Source organism: Homo sapiens, chromosome 12, assembly GCF_000001405.40.
Source record: "Homo sapiens chromosome 12, GRCh38.p14 Primary Assembly".
NCBI lineage: Eukaryota > Metazoa > Chordata > Mammalia > Primates > Hominidae > Homo > Homo sapiens.
The window spans coordinates 1,576,460-1,592,239 of record NC_000012.12 but is presented as its reverse complement, the minus strand read 5'-3'; the positions used below and the strand labels follow the sequence as shown (position 1 = coordinate 1,592,239).

The 15,780-nt window shown below is 43.8% G+C and overlaps 1 protein-coding gene across 6 annotated transcripts in view, besides 2 other annotated features; it reads left to right on the top strand.

Annotated features, from left to right (window-relative positions):
• Nucleotides 1-15,780, top strand: part of FBXL14 (F-box and leucine rich repeat protein 14) — a 28,850-nt gene that overhangs the window by 2,603 nt on the left and 10,467 nt on the right. Inside the window, exon 2 of one of the 6 annotated variants that reach the window (NM_001405293.1) lies at nt 4,704-4,879. The exons of the other annotated variants lie outside the window; for them this stretch is intronic. Within the exon in view, the coding sequence (NP_001392222.1) occupies nt 4,704-4,715 (12 nt within the window). The 3' untranslated portion in view covers nt 4,716-4,879. Of the gene's footprint in view, nt 1-4,703; nt 4,880-15,780 lie in introns of those variants that run through there. 6 annotated transcript variants of the gene reach the window in all.
• Nucleotides 3,739-4,398: an enhancer, noted in NCBI's record as "OCT4-NANOG hESC enhancer chr12:1697008-1697667 (GRCh37/hg19 assembly coordinates)". NCBI's record gives its function as "activates a minimal SCP1, AML or CMV promoter by ChIP-STARR-seq in naive H9 embryonic stem cells {active_cell/tissue: H9 hESC(naive)}" and the evidence as "EXISTENCE:reporter gene assay evidence [ECO:0000049][PMID:30033119]".
• Nucleotides 10,522-10,571: an enhancer, noted in NCBI's record as "active region_5803". NCBI's record gives its function as "activates an Ori minimal core promoter by ATAC-STARR-seq in GM12878 lymphoblastoid cells {active_cell/tissue: GM12878}" and the evidence as "EXISTENCE:reporter gene assay evidence [ECO:0000049][PMID:35858748]".

The following is a 15,780-nucleotide window of genomic DNA, read 5'->3' as shown; positions in this document are numbered from 1 at the left end:
AATATATTCTATATATTATATATATATAAATTATATATATATATATATACATATATATGTCTGGCTACCTCGTTTTAGTTTACTTTTTTTCTGAAGCCCTGGAATTCTACAAGAGAGATATTTTGAGACTGAAACATGTTTGTGCCTAGACTGGAAAGATGCCCTTGGGTTTGTCCGTCTTTTTGTGTTGGCTTCTTCCCAGCCTCCATCCGTCCAGTGTGCCCCACTTCCACATTCTGGCTATAATTTCCTTTTTCTCCTTGTTCATTGGGATTTGAGGACCTATTTCTAAATCTTAATTTATAGCACAAATATGTGGGAGCAATGAGAGTTGAACCGTTGTTTTTGTTGGAGATGCAGATTGTGTCTTGAAAATGATGATTATATATGCAAATTCTGCCCTACCCTCACCCTCTTCCAAGTTTCCCCCCAAAAAGGTCACACAGTGCGGCTTCCTGTGGGAAACAGGAGCAGAGCTGGCCTGCAGAGCCCCTGGGGCTGTGATGAAGCTCATATCTTATCTCTGTTCTATTAACAAAATGGGAGTTTGTGGGTTTTAAAAAATTCCGTTTCTAAATGGAGGAATAGATGACTTTCTTTCTTTTGGTGGGGGTTGGGACTTGTGGCTTTAAAGAAATCACTTCTGAGTAGGATGTATATTTTCGTTGGATTTTTGTTGTTATTTCTTTAGAACCCTCCACAGCAACATGCAAGACCATGGAGTTAAAGAAACCCAGAGACCTTTATCAATTAATTGTACTGTTTGTGAATTTGTATAAATAATAACAAAGATCCTCTTAAAACGTTTATATTCTTACAGTAAAAGGTTAAACTGATATTTATATAATAAAAGAGGAAATATGAAGTATGTTTTTGAAAAAAAAAAAAAAAACAACAGCCTTGTATCTGCGAATTATTTTTAAGGCATTGTGTGCTTGGGTACATGCCAAGGTAGGAGGTGTTGTTTGTATACTCTAAGAGGACGCAAGGTGGAGTTTGGTGCATCCTATGTGGGGGTGAGTCAACTCATGGGTAGAATTTTATTCTGTATAAGGTTTACTACTGACATGTTTTGTTTCTAGAAATGTGATTAGACTGGAGATTTATATAATGTTTGGCTTTAAACTTTCAACAACGTGGAAATTTAAAGAAATTGAACAAAATGAAACTTTTTAAAAAACCAGATTTGTATGTAAGTCACAGTTTCCCCGAGTGGCCAGTTTTTCTTTGGGTGAAAATGAGATCTAGAGGTGATGTTGAAAAGTGGTTCACGACGTGGGCAAGAAAGATGGATTTTTTTTACCCTGAGAGTGGGTGTGGGGAGGATGTGAAGGTGGAAGGACTGAAGCCATTGTTGAGAAAAGTTAAAAGAGCGCTGTCCTTGCGTGCTTGCCGGCTCAGTCATGCATACTGAATCTCCCAGTGTGAGCGAGGGTCCGGGTGGAGAGGAGGAGGGCAGCTCAAGCCCTCTTTTTCACATTCCCCTCCAGGCCCGGCTGTAAGGAAGCACTTTCCTGGGGGATGGGGAGCTTGGCCAGGATTTTGCACATTTGCATTTTAGCACTTCCAATAGCCGAGGCTGGCCGCTGGATCCACTCTGTCAAGGGTTTTTAGACTGAAATCGGGGCAGATTAATGAAATACCAGAATTCCAGCAAGAGTTCCCTTTGGTAGACAGTAACAAAATAATCTGACACCCTGTGGTTTGGCTGTGGAGACCTATGGGTGTGAGTGCTCCAACAGGGGAGTGGTTCATATTCCTGGTTTCACATTGGTCTGGGTTGTTTCTGAGATTGTTAAAAAAAATACTGATCTCAGCAAGAGCTGATAAGAGTAGTATAAAACTTTCCTGGATCAACCCCTCTTTCCAGGAAGAGGGCTGGAACCCAGGTTTCTCTTGGGATAAGATTGTTTTGTAAAATGTCCAAGCTTTCTGCCTGAGCATATCACAAAAGCCGCATTGTTCCTTTTTGGAGAGTCATCACAATTGGGTCTAATTGAGCCTGACACTAGATCCATCTTCTGTTTCTTTGGGGAAGGTGTGGATCTCTTTCTTCCCACTTAGGTTACAGTGCTTAATGCCTGGAAAAAAAAAAAAGTGTGAAGCCTATTAAGAAGTAGGGACTCTGAATTAGGGTCAGCTTTCTAATCCAGCATTTGACACAACTCCTGAAGGTTACACGGCAGTGGGTTCTTAGTCTGTTTTTCTTCCAAGAGACTGCATGGCTGTACAGATTCAATTGATAAAAATTTGAGCACCCAAGTCTTAGGCTCTGTATTCACATTCTTCATTTTAATAGGCAAAATATTCCTACCACCTGTAACGTGAAGCACGTTCTTCTGTTTTGTCTCCTTTTTACGTTAAATGTTAAATATACGCTTGACTAAAGGTCGGCAAATTGATGTTTGAAAGTTACGACCATGGGTCTAGCTATATCCTTATCCTGAATGAGGCATACTTAGTATATAGCCGGAGCTTCTCTGGGAAAGATGATAAACCACCTAGAGTGGTTAGTGAAGGTCAACTGCTCATCTCTCAACCTTTTTGGATGGAAAGCAATTAACGTGTTGAGAACCTATGTGTGTTTTACAAGGTACTTGTAAGTTTTAATCTTCAAAGCAACCTGCTGAAACAGGTATTATCCCTGTTTTCCAGATAAGTCATAATTCCTGCCGTAAGTTACCCAACCAGTAAGTGAGGGAGCCAGGATTCAAACCTAGGCTCCATTTCTCCATTTCCCTCCCTCCCTCCCTCCCTTCCTTCCTGTCTTCCTGCCTTCCTGTCTTTTTTTTTTTTTTTTTTTGAGACAAGGTCTTGATCTTTTTTTTTTTTTTTTTTTTTTGAGACAAGGTCTTGATCTGTTGCCTAGGCAGGAGTGCAGTGGTACAATCACAACCCACTGCAGCCTTGACTTCCCAGGTTCAAGTGATCCTCCCACCTAGCCTCCTGAGTAGCTGAGACTACAGGCGCACACCACCATGGCTGGCTATTTTTTTTTTTTTTTGTATTTTTTTTGTAGAAACAGGGTTTCACCATGTTGCCCAGGCTGGTCTCAAACTCCTGGGCTCAAGCGATCTGCCCACCTCGGCCTCCCAAAGTCCTGGGATTACAGGCGTGAGCCACTCTGCGTGGCCCAGGCTCCATTTCTAAAGTCCAGCTCCCTTCTGCTTGATGAGAAGATTTAGTTACTCGTCATACCTTGGTTTCCAGTAAGGTGACCCTCATAGAAGTGAACGGTAGCTGTTTGAACACCGTATGAACAAGCTTATGCCATAGGGCAGTACTTCAAAGGGAATAGGGGTGACTCTTGGTGGTATGAAAAGTTGATCCCCGCCATACCTACAGGAATGGGAGAAATGCATTGAAGAATAGAAGAGCTAAAGGACATGAATTGATAGTACACTTTGCGTGGTGGTACAAAAGTTAAAAGGCACTCCAGGGCAGTTCTTAGAATAACAGAAAAAAACTTGGTTCAGGTATTTGCTGAAACTTGAGAACTGAAAAAACATAATGTAAACTTCGTGTAAACCTTATCATCTAGAAGTAATAAACCTCAACAGAAACTGGGTAGTAGTCAAGGAACAGCTTCATTTCCCTTCTTTTTCTAAGTGTCATTGTGTGTAGCCCTTCAATGTTCTTACTGGAAAGATTATCTATAAATCACCTGTGGGGCTCAGCCAATTTCTGCAGCTCCCAAGCTAGGCCCCTAACTTGTCCAACTTAACATTTACTAAAACTAAAAGCCAGTACCAGTATATCCTAAAAATAAACTCGAACCGATCATGTTCTTTCATGAGTCAGATGAACAACAAAGATGTAAAAAAGCAAACGTTCCTTTTTCTTTTGAAAGGTATGAACTTTCTCTTACATAAGGACATATGATATGTAAATTAAAGCATGGCCTAGCTCCCAAATCCTGCTGCTTTCCTGAAGTGGTTACTAGATAGGTGCTGGTCTTAGAATACAAACAAAACCTTTCACTTTTGACTTAGAGAATTCGAATTCAAGTTTTCAAAGGGAAAGGGTAGTGGCCCCCAGGGACCACTGTGTTTCTAAAGAATAAGAACCTCTTGATTAAAAGATCAGATTTGTAAAACAAAACCAAGACCTCATGCAGCTTCTGACAACTGTCTCTTCCCAGTTCTATGAAAGGGAAAGCCCTGGCCTCTGATCTCTGCTGTGTTCTGCGGTAGAAAGGGAGGGACTATAGTAAGTCATCTAGTGGTCCCCTCTCTCTGTTCTCTTTCTCTTCCCTGCATCAAACATCACCCCTTTTAAAAGTTAATTCCATCCCTTTAGTAGAGGGCAAGACCTAAATTTTGTGCCATTATGAACCCCTGAGGAGTCAGAGGGGTGAGGCTTTTTGATGAAATAATGTGGATCATGAGTAAAGCACAGCATTAGAAATTAGAAAGCTGCATTCAAACCTAAGCTCAGACTTGGGTCACATACTTACCTCATTTCTGTCAATGCACTTGGTTAACTATCAGGCAGCAAGTTAAATTTTTTAAAAAGTTGTAAAACAGATGGGACATGCATATTTAGATCAGTGCCAAATATTAATAATTTACTTAATGAAGTATCAAAGGTAAGTGCACAGTTGGAACAAGAGCATATATCTCAGCTCTTGTATGGAATTTCTAGACAATTGGTAAATTTAAATGTCCACAAATGATCAGTTTCAGTTTTTTCCTCTTTTCCAGGGATTGCTCTGATTTTGCCTGCTGGAGTTGCCTTTACCAACCCAGAATATTTGGTCGTATGTAAAGCCAAGCCCTCCAGTTGAGGTGCAAAAGAAAGTAAGCTTGAGATCTTAACTGAGCAGCACCAGAGTGGGGTATGTTAAACCCCCACTCCCAATAAAACAATCGAAGTGGAATTCCTCTGCCTGCTATTTATTAACCCAGAAAAGTGCACATATTTTCTTTAAAAAGAAGACTTAAGTTTCTATTATTTCATTACTCTTCTACTTCAATTTTTTTTTTTTTTTTTTTTTGAGACGGAGACGGAGTTTCACTCTTGTTGTCCAGGCTGCAGTGCAATGGCACGATCTTGGCTCCCTGCAACCTCCGCCTCCCAGGTTCAAGTGATTCTCCTGCCCCAGTCTCCTGAGTAGCTGGGATTACAGGCGTGTGCCACCACGCCCGGCTAATTTTGTATCTTTGGTAGAGACGGGGTTTCTCCATGTTGGTCAGGCTGGTCTCAAACTCCCGACCTCAAGTGATCCGCCCGCCTCGGCCTCCCAAAGTGCTGGGATTACAGGCATGAGCCACCGCGCCCGGCCACTTTAGTTGTTTAAGGAACAAATGCTTTATATCCTTATAAAAAACTTACAAGGATACTTGCATTTGTGATAGTGGAAACAAATGAGTCTCAATTACAAAGAAGAGAACTGGGTCTGCAGCCGTGGCGCAGCAGAGAAACCCAAGTGAGACCAGGTCAGGAATGTGAGTGTGATCTGTGGAAGAACTCAGTCATAACACAATGTTCGGTTTCTCTGTCTCAACATTTTTGTTTTCCCAAATCTGGCAGATGTGGTACATTTAATTTTATAAATGGGAAAAGATGCTTAACAAAGTGGAAAAGATTTTGCCTAGGTAATTAGAGGAGAACCTAGTGTCAGAACCTGGGCTGCTCTAGACTTAATGACCAATGCAGAAGGTGACCAGCATGGAGGCGGCTCACAGGGGCACTGCAAAGCACCACCCTGTCTCTCTTCAGAGATGTGTGGCACCAAGCCAGGCACGGCACACATCTGTAGTCCCAGCTACTCACTCGGCTGAGGTGGGAGGATCACTTGAACACACGAGTTCAAGACCAGCCTGGGCGACACAGCAAAACCCCATCTCTTAAAAAAATTATTATTTTTTGTCTTTTTTTTGAGACAGAGTCTCGCTCTGTTGCCCAGGCTGGAGTGCAGTGGCATGATCAGAGCTCACTACAATCTCGGACTTCTGGGCTCAAGGGATCTTTCTACCTCAGCCTTAAAAAAAAGTTTCTTAAAAGGTGCCACACCAAAGCATATTATTTTCATTAGGAGTAAAAAAAAAAAAAAAACCCCAAATGCTAAAAGTTATTACTATTTAATATGCACTACCTTATGCAAACTTAGACATGTTTGCAAGCATTATATAGGGTTATTCAGGAAACCAAAAAACTAGTACATGTTGTTAAATGGTCTATAAGGTACTGAAGTAGCTAACTGTCAAATCTGTTGCCTGTTGCTCTCAGAGGATTTGAGCCAGTTTCCAAAACACTGCTTTGTTGCACATAGTAATGCAGAATACTAATGCTGGAAGTACATGCTCATGAGAGCTTCAAAGCTAGGAACTCACACATATTTCACATGCTATAAATACCTGCCACACAATCCTTTTATAAAGTAGAATCAAGTTGCAAAAACTCTAGCTATTTTCTCTTCATTCAAGGGCAAAAAGGCTTGACTTCACAGATGTTTTAGTTACAAATCCCACTTGTCCAGAAAGAGTAAAAGGGTCTAATTTGTTAATACTAGGCACCTTCTTATATTTATTACTCCCCCATTTACGTAATCCACACTCCAGAAGGATCAGACCTACCACACAGTGGGGTGTCAACAATTACTCCTTACATCATGGATCTGAGACACTGGAACTGGACTGTGGGAAAACAGTTGAGACCACATTAATTTTTCATAAATATTAATGTGGAATTACTATGGCTTGGAAAACATTGTTTTTCTCATCTAAAAAGGATATGAGGAAATATTTCCTACCAAGGTTCATAATATTTCTCCTTAGGAAATCTTGGCCTCAAACTAGCATTATTTACATACACGTCTGCTACATTTTTTTTTTTTTTTTGAGACGGAGTCTCGCTCTGTCGCCCAGGCTGGAGTACAGTGGCACAATCTTGGCTCACTGCAAGCTCTGCCTCCCGGGTTCACGCCATTCTCCTGGCTCAGCCTCCCGAGTAGCGGGGACCACAGGCACCTGCCACCACGCCCGGCTAATTTTTTGTATTTTTAGTAGAGACGGGGTTTCACCATGTTAGTCAGGATGGTCTCGATCTCCTGACCTTGTGATCCGCCTGCCTCGGCCTCCCAAAGTGCTGGGATGACAGGCGTGAGCCACCGCGCCCGGCCACACATCTGCTACCTTTTTCTAGCCCAAGGCAAGGCTTTCTGAGACGTAGTCACTAAACAGGGAGGAGCCAAAAAAATTAGTCCTGCTATTTCTGAGAATCTCTAGAACAATCACTGAGGCTAAAATTGGACACATGAGTAAAGTAAGGGAGAAATTGTAACAGTTAAGCCCGCAAACGCCCCTCAAATAAATGCTTCATGTTCTCAGATGGAAGACAAGCATTTCTGCTTTCAGTAATTTAAACCTTAACTTCATTGCCCAAAACTCCACTGCTGTGAACAACAACAACGACAAGATGGCCAGTACGTGTGTCTTAAGCAAACAACACGAAAATGACAAGATGAAAGTGACAATTTCTACCTTTCCTAATTTACTTCAGATGCACAGAATTTAGCCAGTTTTCAGGAATCTGTAAAAGCAGGATGGTTAAGTTCTGTGGCCCCCTGAACTTCATCCAGCTGACAGCTGACGGTTGTACGAAGCAGAAAAGGTCTTCAAGTTTCCAGAGCCTGGAGTAGATGGAGGATTGGCTCTTCCAGCCCTAGCTGATGTCTGTGCACTTGAGACAGATGCCCTGCCATTGTGCTCAGGGTCAGATGTCAACAATCAGAACAGCATGACCCCCAGGAAGGCAGCTGGCCTCTCTCTTCCCTACACAGAAGGGTCTAATTTTCAATGGAATCACAAGGGGAACTGCAGAAACTCATTAACGTAGGACACAGGATTTAGCAGCAAACAGCTTCATCCCTGCTTTATTGATTTTTAGAGTTGGGGTCTCGCTCTGTCACCCAGGCTGAAGTGCAGCGGTGTGATCATATCTCACTGCAGCCTCGACTTCCTGAGCTCAAGCAATCCTCCCACCTCAGCCTCCCGAGTAGCTGGGACCACAGGCATGTGCCACCATGCCCATTATTACTATTATTATTTTTTTTTTGTAGAGACAGGGTCTCGCTATGCTGCCTAGGCTGGTCTCCAACTCCTGGGCTCAAGTGATCCTCCCATCTCGGCCTCCCAAAGTGCTGAGATTGCAGGAGCCTACAACTGCTTTCTTTAGAAATAAAAATGTGCATATGTGGGTTAAGAGGTAAAAGTCAAGCACTACACATTATTGAAAGGTAGGGCTGGAAAACTGTTATTGTCTCCTTCTGGACTGTTGCTTCAGCCTCCCCAGCCCTTTAAAAAAACAACAAAAAACCCTCTTACACACAATTTACCTTCCCCATTGTGAAGCAGCTGTGAATCATATCCACACCTGTCCTGGAGTTATTAAAACTAGGAGTCCGACCTTGTGTTTTTCTTTACCCCAAGTTTATGAACATGATTTTAGGGTCCAATATAAGGTAGTACAATAAAGTATGGTTAATGCAAAACTAAATGTCCTCCACTGTGGAAGACAGAAAGTGGAGAAATCCACGAAGTCTGCACGTCCCATGTCTTGGTCTTGTCAGTAGGTGGCAGCATTGTCTGTGAGTTGGAAGCTATTTCCCAAGGGGAACCACAACCTCCTCCCATCTAACAAATCCCCTCTGGTCCTTTCTCTTTCACCCGCACCCGCAAAGTATTTCCTCCAGGCGTAAGAGTTGACAAATGAGGAATTTCACTTCCTGGAAAAGATGAAATTGAATTTTAAAATATCAGTGAGGTTACTCCCCAGAGCCAGGTGTTATTTTGCAGCTCTCTGCTTTTGGAGCTAAGAGAATCAAACATTAACTTCTAATGCTTTTTTTTTTTTCTCTTTAAACTTCTAATTCTTCTTAAAGGGCACTTCATACAAATCCTTCTTAGATTGCCATATCTGGGGAGTTTGGGAGGAAGAAAATGGGAAAAATTTTAGTCATACATGGAGGTATCAATTTAAACAGCAAGAAAAAGAGCTAGTTTTTTTTATTACAAAAGAAAAATCAGAAGTGTATCTGTGAGGACAAATTCTAGAGAGCCTTTCAGGAAAAAACATTTTAAAATTTTAGGAGTATCTTTTTTTTAATTTTTTTTAATTTTTATTAAAAGGAGTATCTTTATTGCCCAGATGAAGACATCTTCATAAAATATAAGAGAGTCTATGAAGATGAAAATAATAACAGCCCTGACGAAGAAGTAAAGTTGCTTGTGTGACCTAAATTCCTCCTACAGAAAACTGACATTAGGACAAGGTAGCAGAACTTACAAAAATAACTTCTGAGCCAATGTAGCCAGATTCCGTAGAATGGCACAAGAAGAGACAGGCTGAGGGCAGGAGAGGCCTTCGGGTCTTGCCCTCCTGGTACTCAACAGCCTGGCCTCGGGGAATCAAACTGTGAGTGGGAAGGGCAGGTGTAGAAGTGGGAAAAAAGGTGGAGGCAGTTATCCCCTGCAGATGCTTCTACCAAGCTGTATTGGCTAGAGGAGCCACAGCTTATAAGCTCTGTAATATAGACGTCATTTTTGGTTAGAGAATAAATAAAAAAGGAAAAGTTTCAGGGACTTGGGGCCTGTGCATAAGGCAAATTACATTCATTCCTGGCACCATCCGTGAAGGTCTTATGAAAGCAGAACATCTCCCTGCGCAACTTTTGGAAAGTAATAGCTGAAATATGCCATTCTTAGTGACTACACTGAAAGAATACAGATTCAGGGAAGGCACCCCAAACAGAGAATACAGGTTGTAAAGGAAAGAAAAGCAAACACGTATCACCCTGCACAAAGCCAAGAAGAAGAAAACGGGGCTGGCTGAGGAGCCAGAATGAGAACTGAGTGAGGGGAATGTGTGAACGCTGAGGACCAGCAGTTCCTAAAGCTGCTCCTCGGAAGAACTGGGAGGGCTGCTCCTTGATTCATAGCCTCCAAGAACAGCTTTCCTGGACTCCGTTTTCTTTCTCTTTCTTTTCTTTTCTTTTTCTTTCTTTCTTTCTCTTTTTCTTTCTTCTTTCTCTTTCTTTCTTCCTTTTCTTCCTTTCTTTTCTTTCTTTTCCTTCTTTCCTTTCCTTCCTTCCTTCCTTCCTTCCTTCCTTTTCTTTCGACAGAGTCACTCTGTTGCTCAGGCTGGAATGCAGTGGTGCAATCTCAGCTCACTGCAACTTCTGCTCCCCGGGTTCAAGCAATGCTCCTGCCTCAGCCTCCTGAGTAGTTGGGACTACAGGCACGTGCCACCATGCCTGGCTAATTTTTGTATTTTTTAGTAGAGACAGGGTTTTGCCATGTTGGCCAGGCAGGTCTTGAACTCCTGACCTCAGGTGATCTACCCGCCTCAGCCTCCCAAAGTGCTGGGATTACACACGTGAGTCACCAGGCCCGGCCCTGGGCTTCATTTTCAAGAAGGTAGGCCCTCTTTCTGTAACCACAGAAACAACCTTTGAATTTGACTCTAGACAAATCTCTTGCGAATGTGGCCACTGGGCTGGCGTGAGGATGTTGGTGTGACTGAGACCTCTGAGGTGGCAGCACTGCAAGCCTGAAAATGTCCTACGGGAGGCATGTGGCTGTCACTCTAGTTCTGTGCTCACAGCCGTCAGGACCAACGTTGTTTTCATCCACACCCCATTTCTGCCGGGAAGCTAGAGCAACAGTGTACAGAGGACACATAGGAAAAAGCATTTCCGGGACAGGCCGGCTCCGACATTCCTCACATGGGCCCTTCAGGCAGCAATTACTCTATTGGCTTCAACATTCTCCATCCAAACCACGTGACTCCAGTTTCTGTGCTCCGTTTTGCAGAGGAAGGTATAGCTGAGGGCTCCAGTAATCCCAAGATGATGCACGTTTCTCTTGTAGGGGACCTTCCCCAAACCCTCTCCCCAGGAGGTTCCCGTGGCTCAGTCTGCAAATCCACACAGCCCGGACACTGATTTGCAGGCTGACAGCCACTGCTGCTGCTTTCCTAACCTTCCTCTGTACTCTTTTAGCTGCTACCAGCACACCCACCCCCCACCCTAAAGGTGTCCATTCGCCCATTAAAGGACTCCAGCATGGCCATTTCCCAGTTTCTGAATTTCCTGTCGCCGTCTATGAAGACTGTCGAGAGGGGTCGAGTGTTGTGGGTGGGGGATTCCAGGCGACGTGGCCACACATAACAGCAATGAGGCCAGTCCCACGGCCGTCTACACACTGAAGCAGGTATCAACAACACCTTGCAGTCCTTCCTGATTTGGGCTGCCTTCCGCTTGATACTTCAGAGATAAAGCCTCCCTGTGCCATTGTTCAAGCCTGTTAGTTCCCACTCCTGTATTCATTCCTACCTCTGCACCTGCCAGGAACTTGCAGAGAAACTAAGGAACTTGTGTGCAAGTGGCTGCAAACACCTTCCCGCTCCTCCACTGGGGCCAGAAGCAAGCCCGCTAATGCTAATCTGCCCCCTCACTTGCAGCTCAACAGCTTTTCTCCTCTAAGCCCCTGATAATGGTTTTACTAAAATCCCCTTTTGATGGGAAAAAATCCCAGCTGGACATTTCAGGCCCCAGCACAATACACAAGTCTGCAGGTCCCTTTCCCCACCTCACAAAGGCCTCTAATCAAGTGGAAAATGTGCTGGAGGCCAGAGGTTTGGGTCCGCAATTATTTTTTAAGGGATTACTAGAGAAGAATAGGGGGCAGCAAGGACCTCCCCCCCCACTATGTTTTCCATTTGGTCCTGTTTTTAGACACACTGAGCCAGGAGTAGCCGTCCAGTTCTCCAAGCACAAGAGCTTCATCTCTGTCTTCCCAGGTGGAAGGATGTCATCTGTGAACACTATTGCTTCAAAAAGATGTAGAGAGTTTGGAAGCAATATGCAGGTCCTTTTCTGACCCCATTTAAGCCCTTATTTATAAAACCGCTATTGAACGGGATCCTGAGTGTGGAGAGAGCACCCATTCATTAACCTCTAACCTCTGGTCTGTATTCAGAGGGCAGCGTTCGCTCTGTGTCCATACACCGCAAGATTGGAGGCATTCACTTCAGCATCCCAGGCTTTGGAGGGCAAGAGGTCACGTTCCCAACCCTGCCAGATAGCCTTCTTCCTAGTTATATGCACTGACCCTTCCCTCGACACTGAGCAAATGTCCACGTTACTCCTAATGTTTAATCTTGGGGCAAAACATGGATAAAAATACAAAATGTTAACTATGTGTATCGGTCTATTGGAACCTTCCTTTAAGAATGTACACTATGGAAGCTGGTTTGTCTTCCCTGTACATTGCAAAGGACCTTCTTTGATGTCATCTATGCATGAGTGTTCATTAAGGATTAATCGATGAGGATGAACATTTCAGGCTGGCCCTGAGTTCTCATCATTCCATTTCAGCATCGAGAGACTGCTCATTCTAATCCCAGCTGGTTAGTGATGTATGCAAATACCCAGTAAAAAGGAAATGACTACAAATTCCTAAACTCACTCTGGAATGATCAAGGATTAGACTGTTCAGCTCTGAGAGTTAAAAGTCAGCAAACTAAATACCAGCCTGAGTAATAATTTTCAGGTCCTTTCTTCAAAGTTCCTGAAATACTTTTGGTCAAAAACAAAAAATTGATAACTACATTTTTTTTTTTTTTTAAATGGAGTCTCACCCTATCACCGAGACTGGAGTGCAATGGTGCGATCTCGGCTCACTGCAACCTCCCACTCCCCTCAAGCGATTCTCCCACCTCAGCCTCTCGAGTAGCTGGGATTACAGGTGTGCGCCATCATGCCCGGCTAATTTTTGTGTTTTAGTAGAGACGGGGTTTCACCATGTTGACCATAGCTGGTCTTGAACTCCTGACCTCAGGTGATCCACCCACCTCAGCCTCCCAAAGTGCTGGGATTACAGGCGTGAGCCACCGTGCCCGGCCCAGATTATTTTTTAAAACCTCTGGTTTTGTTTTCGTCAGTATGATGCCTTATTGATATATTTTTGCTTTACTGACATTTTTGGTTTGCCCTCAGAAGATCCCTAAACAACTGAGAACTGGATAGAGAGAAGCACAAATACTACATTGAAGGTATTATATTTAATACTTAATGCAAAGATCATATTCGTATTTTATGTCGGCTTTCATACTTCTTTTGGGGAGTGTTACAGGAGGAGACCATGTCGTTTCCCTAAAGAAAGCAAGTAGAAGTGTGTTATCTGGAGCCCCCTCCCCAGATAATGACAGGCTCGCTGAGGCACACCTGCTCCTTGTCCCAAAAATGTTGTAAGAGCTTTTCTCCAGGAGTGAAAAAGCTTCACCCGACTTTACATGAAGACGAGCACCTCTAGAAAGGTGAAGGGATAGTCACGAGCAACAAAGCACACAGTGGCATGTCTCTAAAGCAAAGCCCACCGTGGTCTGACTCCTTAAAGGAGGAGGGAACTGTGAGATAAGTTACAGGGAGAGCTGCTCCGAAGCCGCCCCTCATGGACACCCCTCCTGAATCACTGCACAGATGCCTGCTTAGTTCTTTGCTTATCATCGTTATTTTAGTCTTCATCATCATTCTTCAGCTTCTCTGCGCTTTTAACATACCATGTTGGACAAACTATCCATTGTTTTATTTTATTTTAGAGACGGCGTCTTGCTCTGTCACCCAGGCTGGAGTGCAGTGGCGCGATCTCGGCTCACTGCAACCTCTGCCTTCAGGTTCAAGTATTCTCCTGCCTCAGCCTCCCAAGTGGCTGGAATTACAGGCGCCTGTCATCATGCCTGGCTAATTTTTGTATTTTTAGTAGATATGGGGTTTCACCATGTTGACCACACTGGTCTCAAATTCCTGATCTCAGGTGATCCACCCACCTCGGCCTCCCAAAGTGCTGGGAATACAGGTGTGAGCCACCACGCCCAGCCAATATCCATTGTTTTAAAAGTCACTCTTCCTACTAGAAGAGTAAAACAGCATTTTAGAAACAATAATTTGATAAAATAGTAGCAGCAATGCATCTCACGTCTTTCAGGGCCATTGAAAATGTTAGTACTGTGGAATGTAATCATCTTTCAGACTCTCTATTAGAGGTAGCTAAATAATTCAAAAAACAAGATGAACATAATTAGAATTCAGTATAAAATGTGTGCTTTCCCATTAAAGAAAATTTTGTTCAAGGCCTAAAAACAGAAGGAAATTATATCGCAGTTATGAAATGTTACGTCTAAAGTTCATTGTGTCAAACTGGCATACCTAAAATAGGTGGGAAATGCCCCTGAATCCACGGAGAAAAGAAGTATCAGCTTCTCCCAGCCACGCTAGGTGGGGTAACTACAGGGGGCGATGGAGCTTCTCTGCAGTGTTTTTGTTAGCTCCTCTGTTTATGCTCTTGATATCCAAGAGCGTGTCTACCCTGAACTCCTACTCAAATATGTTTAGCCTTTGTTGTATTGCTTCCGATTTCTAAGTGATCCCAGTTCACTCTTTCCCATCATTTTTGGGGCATACTTACCTGTTTCACCTGCCATCTCCATGCCTGGTCACCTGAAGTCAGTGTCTGCAGACCCTGCTTGGGATGGTCTCTGCACTCCTAAGGTGAGCTAGCTCCCTGCTCACCCTGCCCTGCCCTCAACGTCCTCTCGGGCATCTCCCGGCAGCCATGAATGCTCCAGAAGCATTCTAACTCTGCACTCTGTTTCCTCCAGCCTGGGGGCGGGGGCAGGTGAGTGATAATGACCATCACTGTATTTGACTGGCAGTCTTCACACCGCAGGGTTAAAAAATTATTTTTACTAAAATATGCCTGCCTATTCAAGGCTGCTCTTTAAAATAATACATAAGTCCTTTTTTTTTTTTAAATCCTTATTTAAAATTCCTCCAGAATAGGACAACTAGATGACAAGGCAAAGAGGAGCTCTTGAATCTTCACCTGACCCCACTGCCCTCCCCCGAGGAGGGGCTACATCCTTTGGCCCCAACTCCAGAGTTCCAACAGCAGTGAGGTGGCAAGTGCCCCACGCTCAGCGCGGCTAGGAGACTCTTGCTCTCGATTTGTATACGATCATGAAATGAAGCATCTGTCCACACAGGGCAGGCCCCCAGAGGGCCTATGGTGAGCAGGCAGTATCAAGATTCTCTCTTCCCTGGCCTCCTGCTTAAGCATTGCTAGAAGTTTCTTCCCGGGAAGGATGAGGAGTTTATCCAGGCAGCGCTGACAGCCAACGGCAGGACTGATAAAGCCTGTGGCTGGCTTTATCAGTAACACAGCTAAGACGACTTTAAGAGCCCATAAAAATGCTAACAAATATTCCTGCTGACCAACGCATTGCAGCAGTTTCACAATCACAAAATCCTGCCGGTTTATTGGGATTAATTACTAACTAATAGTTAAAATGCTAAAGTTTATGAATGACTTTAAAAAAATACAAATTAGTGTGGATTCAGGGCTATCTTTCACTTAGTAAATATTTATTTGGCAGCTTTTACAGGCCGAGTCCCCCGCCAAGGGCTGGGGCGACAGAGCACCATCTCCCACTTACGCGTATGGAGGTCTGCTTTCTTGAGTGGGAGAGAAAGAAGTGGGGTTTTACTGGGAACTGCGCCCAACCCACAGCCTGATTTATCTGTGCCGCAGCCTGCAATCTAGATAGGCCCCATGGGAGTGCGTCTCGTGTATTTTAGGGGGAAAATAGTTGGGAATTGCTGCTTTACAGAGCTGGGCTTCAGATTCTTGGCGCAGAAGGGAGCCAGCCAGTCCAGATAAGGAGCGGGAACTGAGGTTAACATGTATTCAAGACTGAATTCCTTCTCAGTCCCCGAGCAGT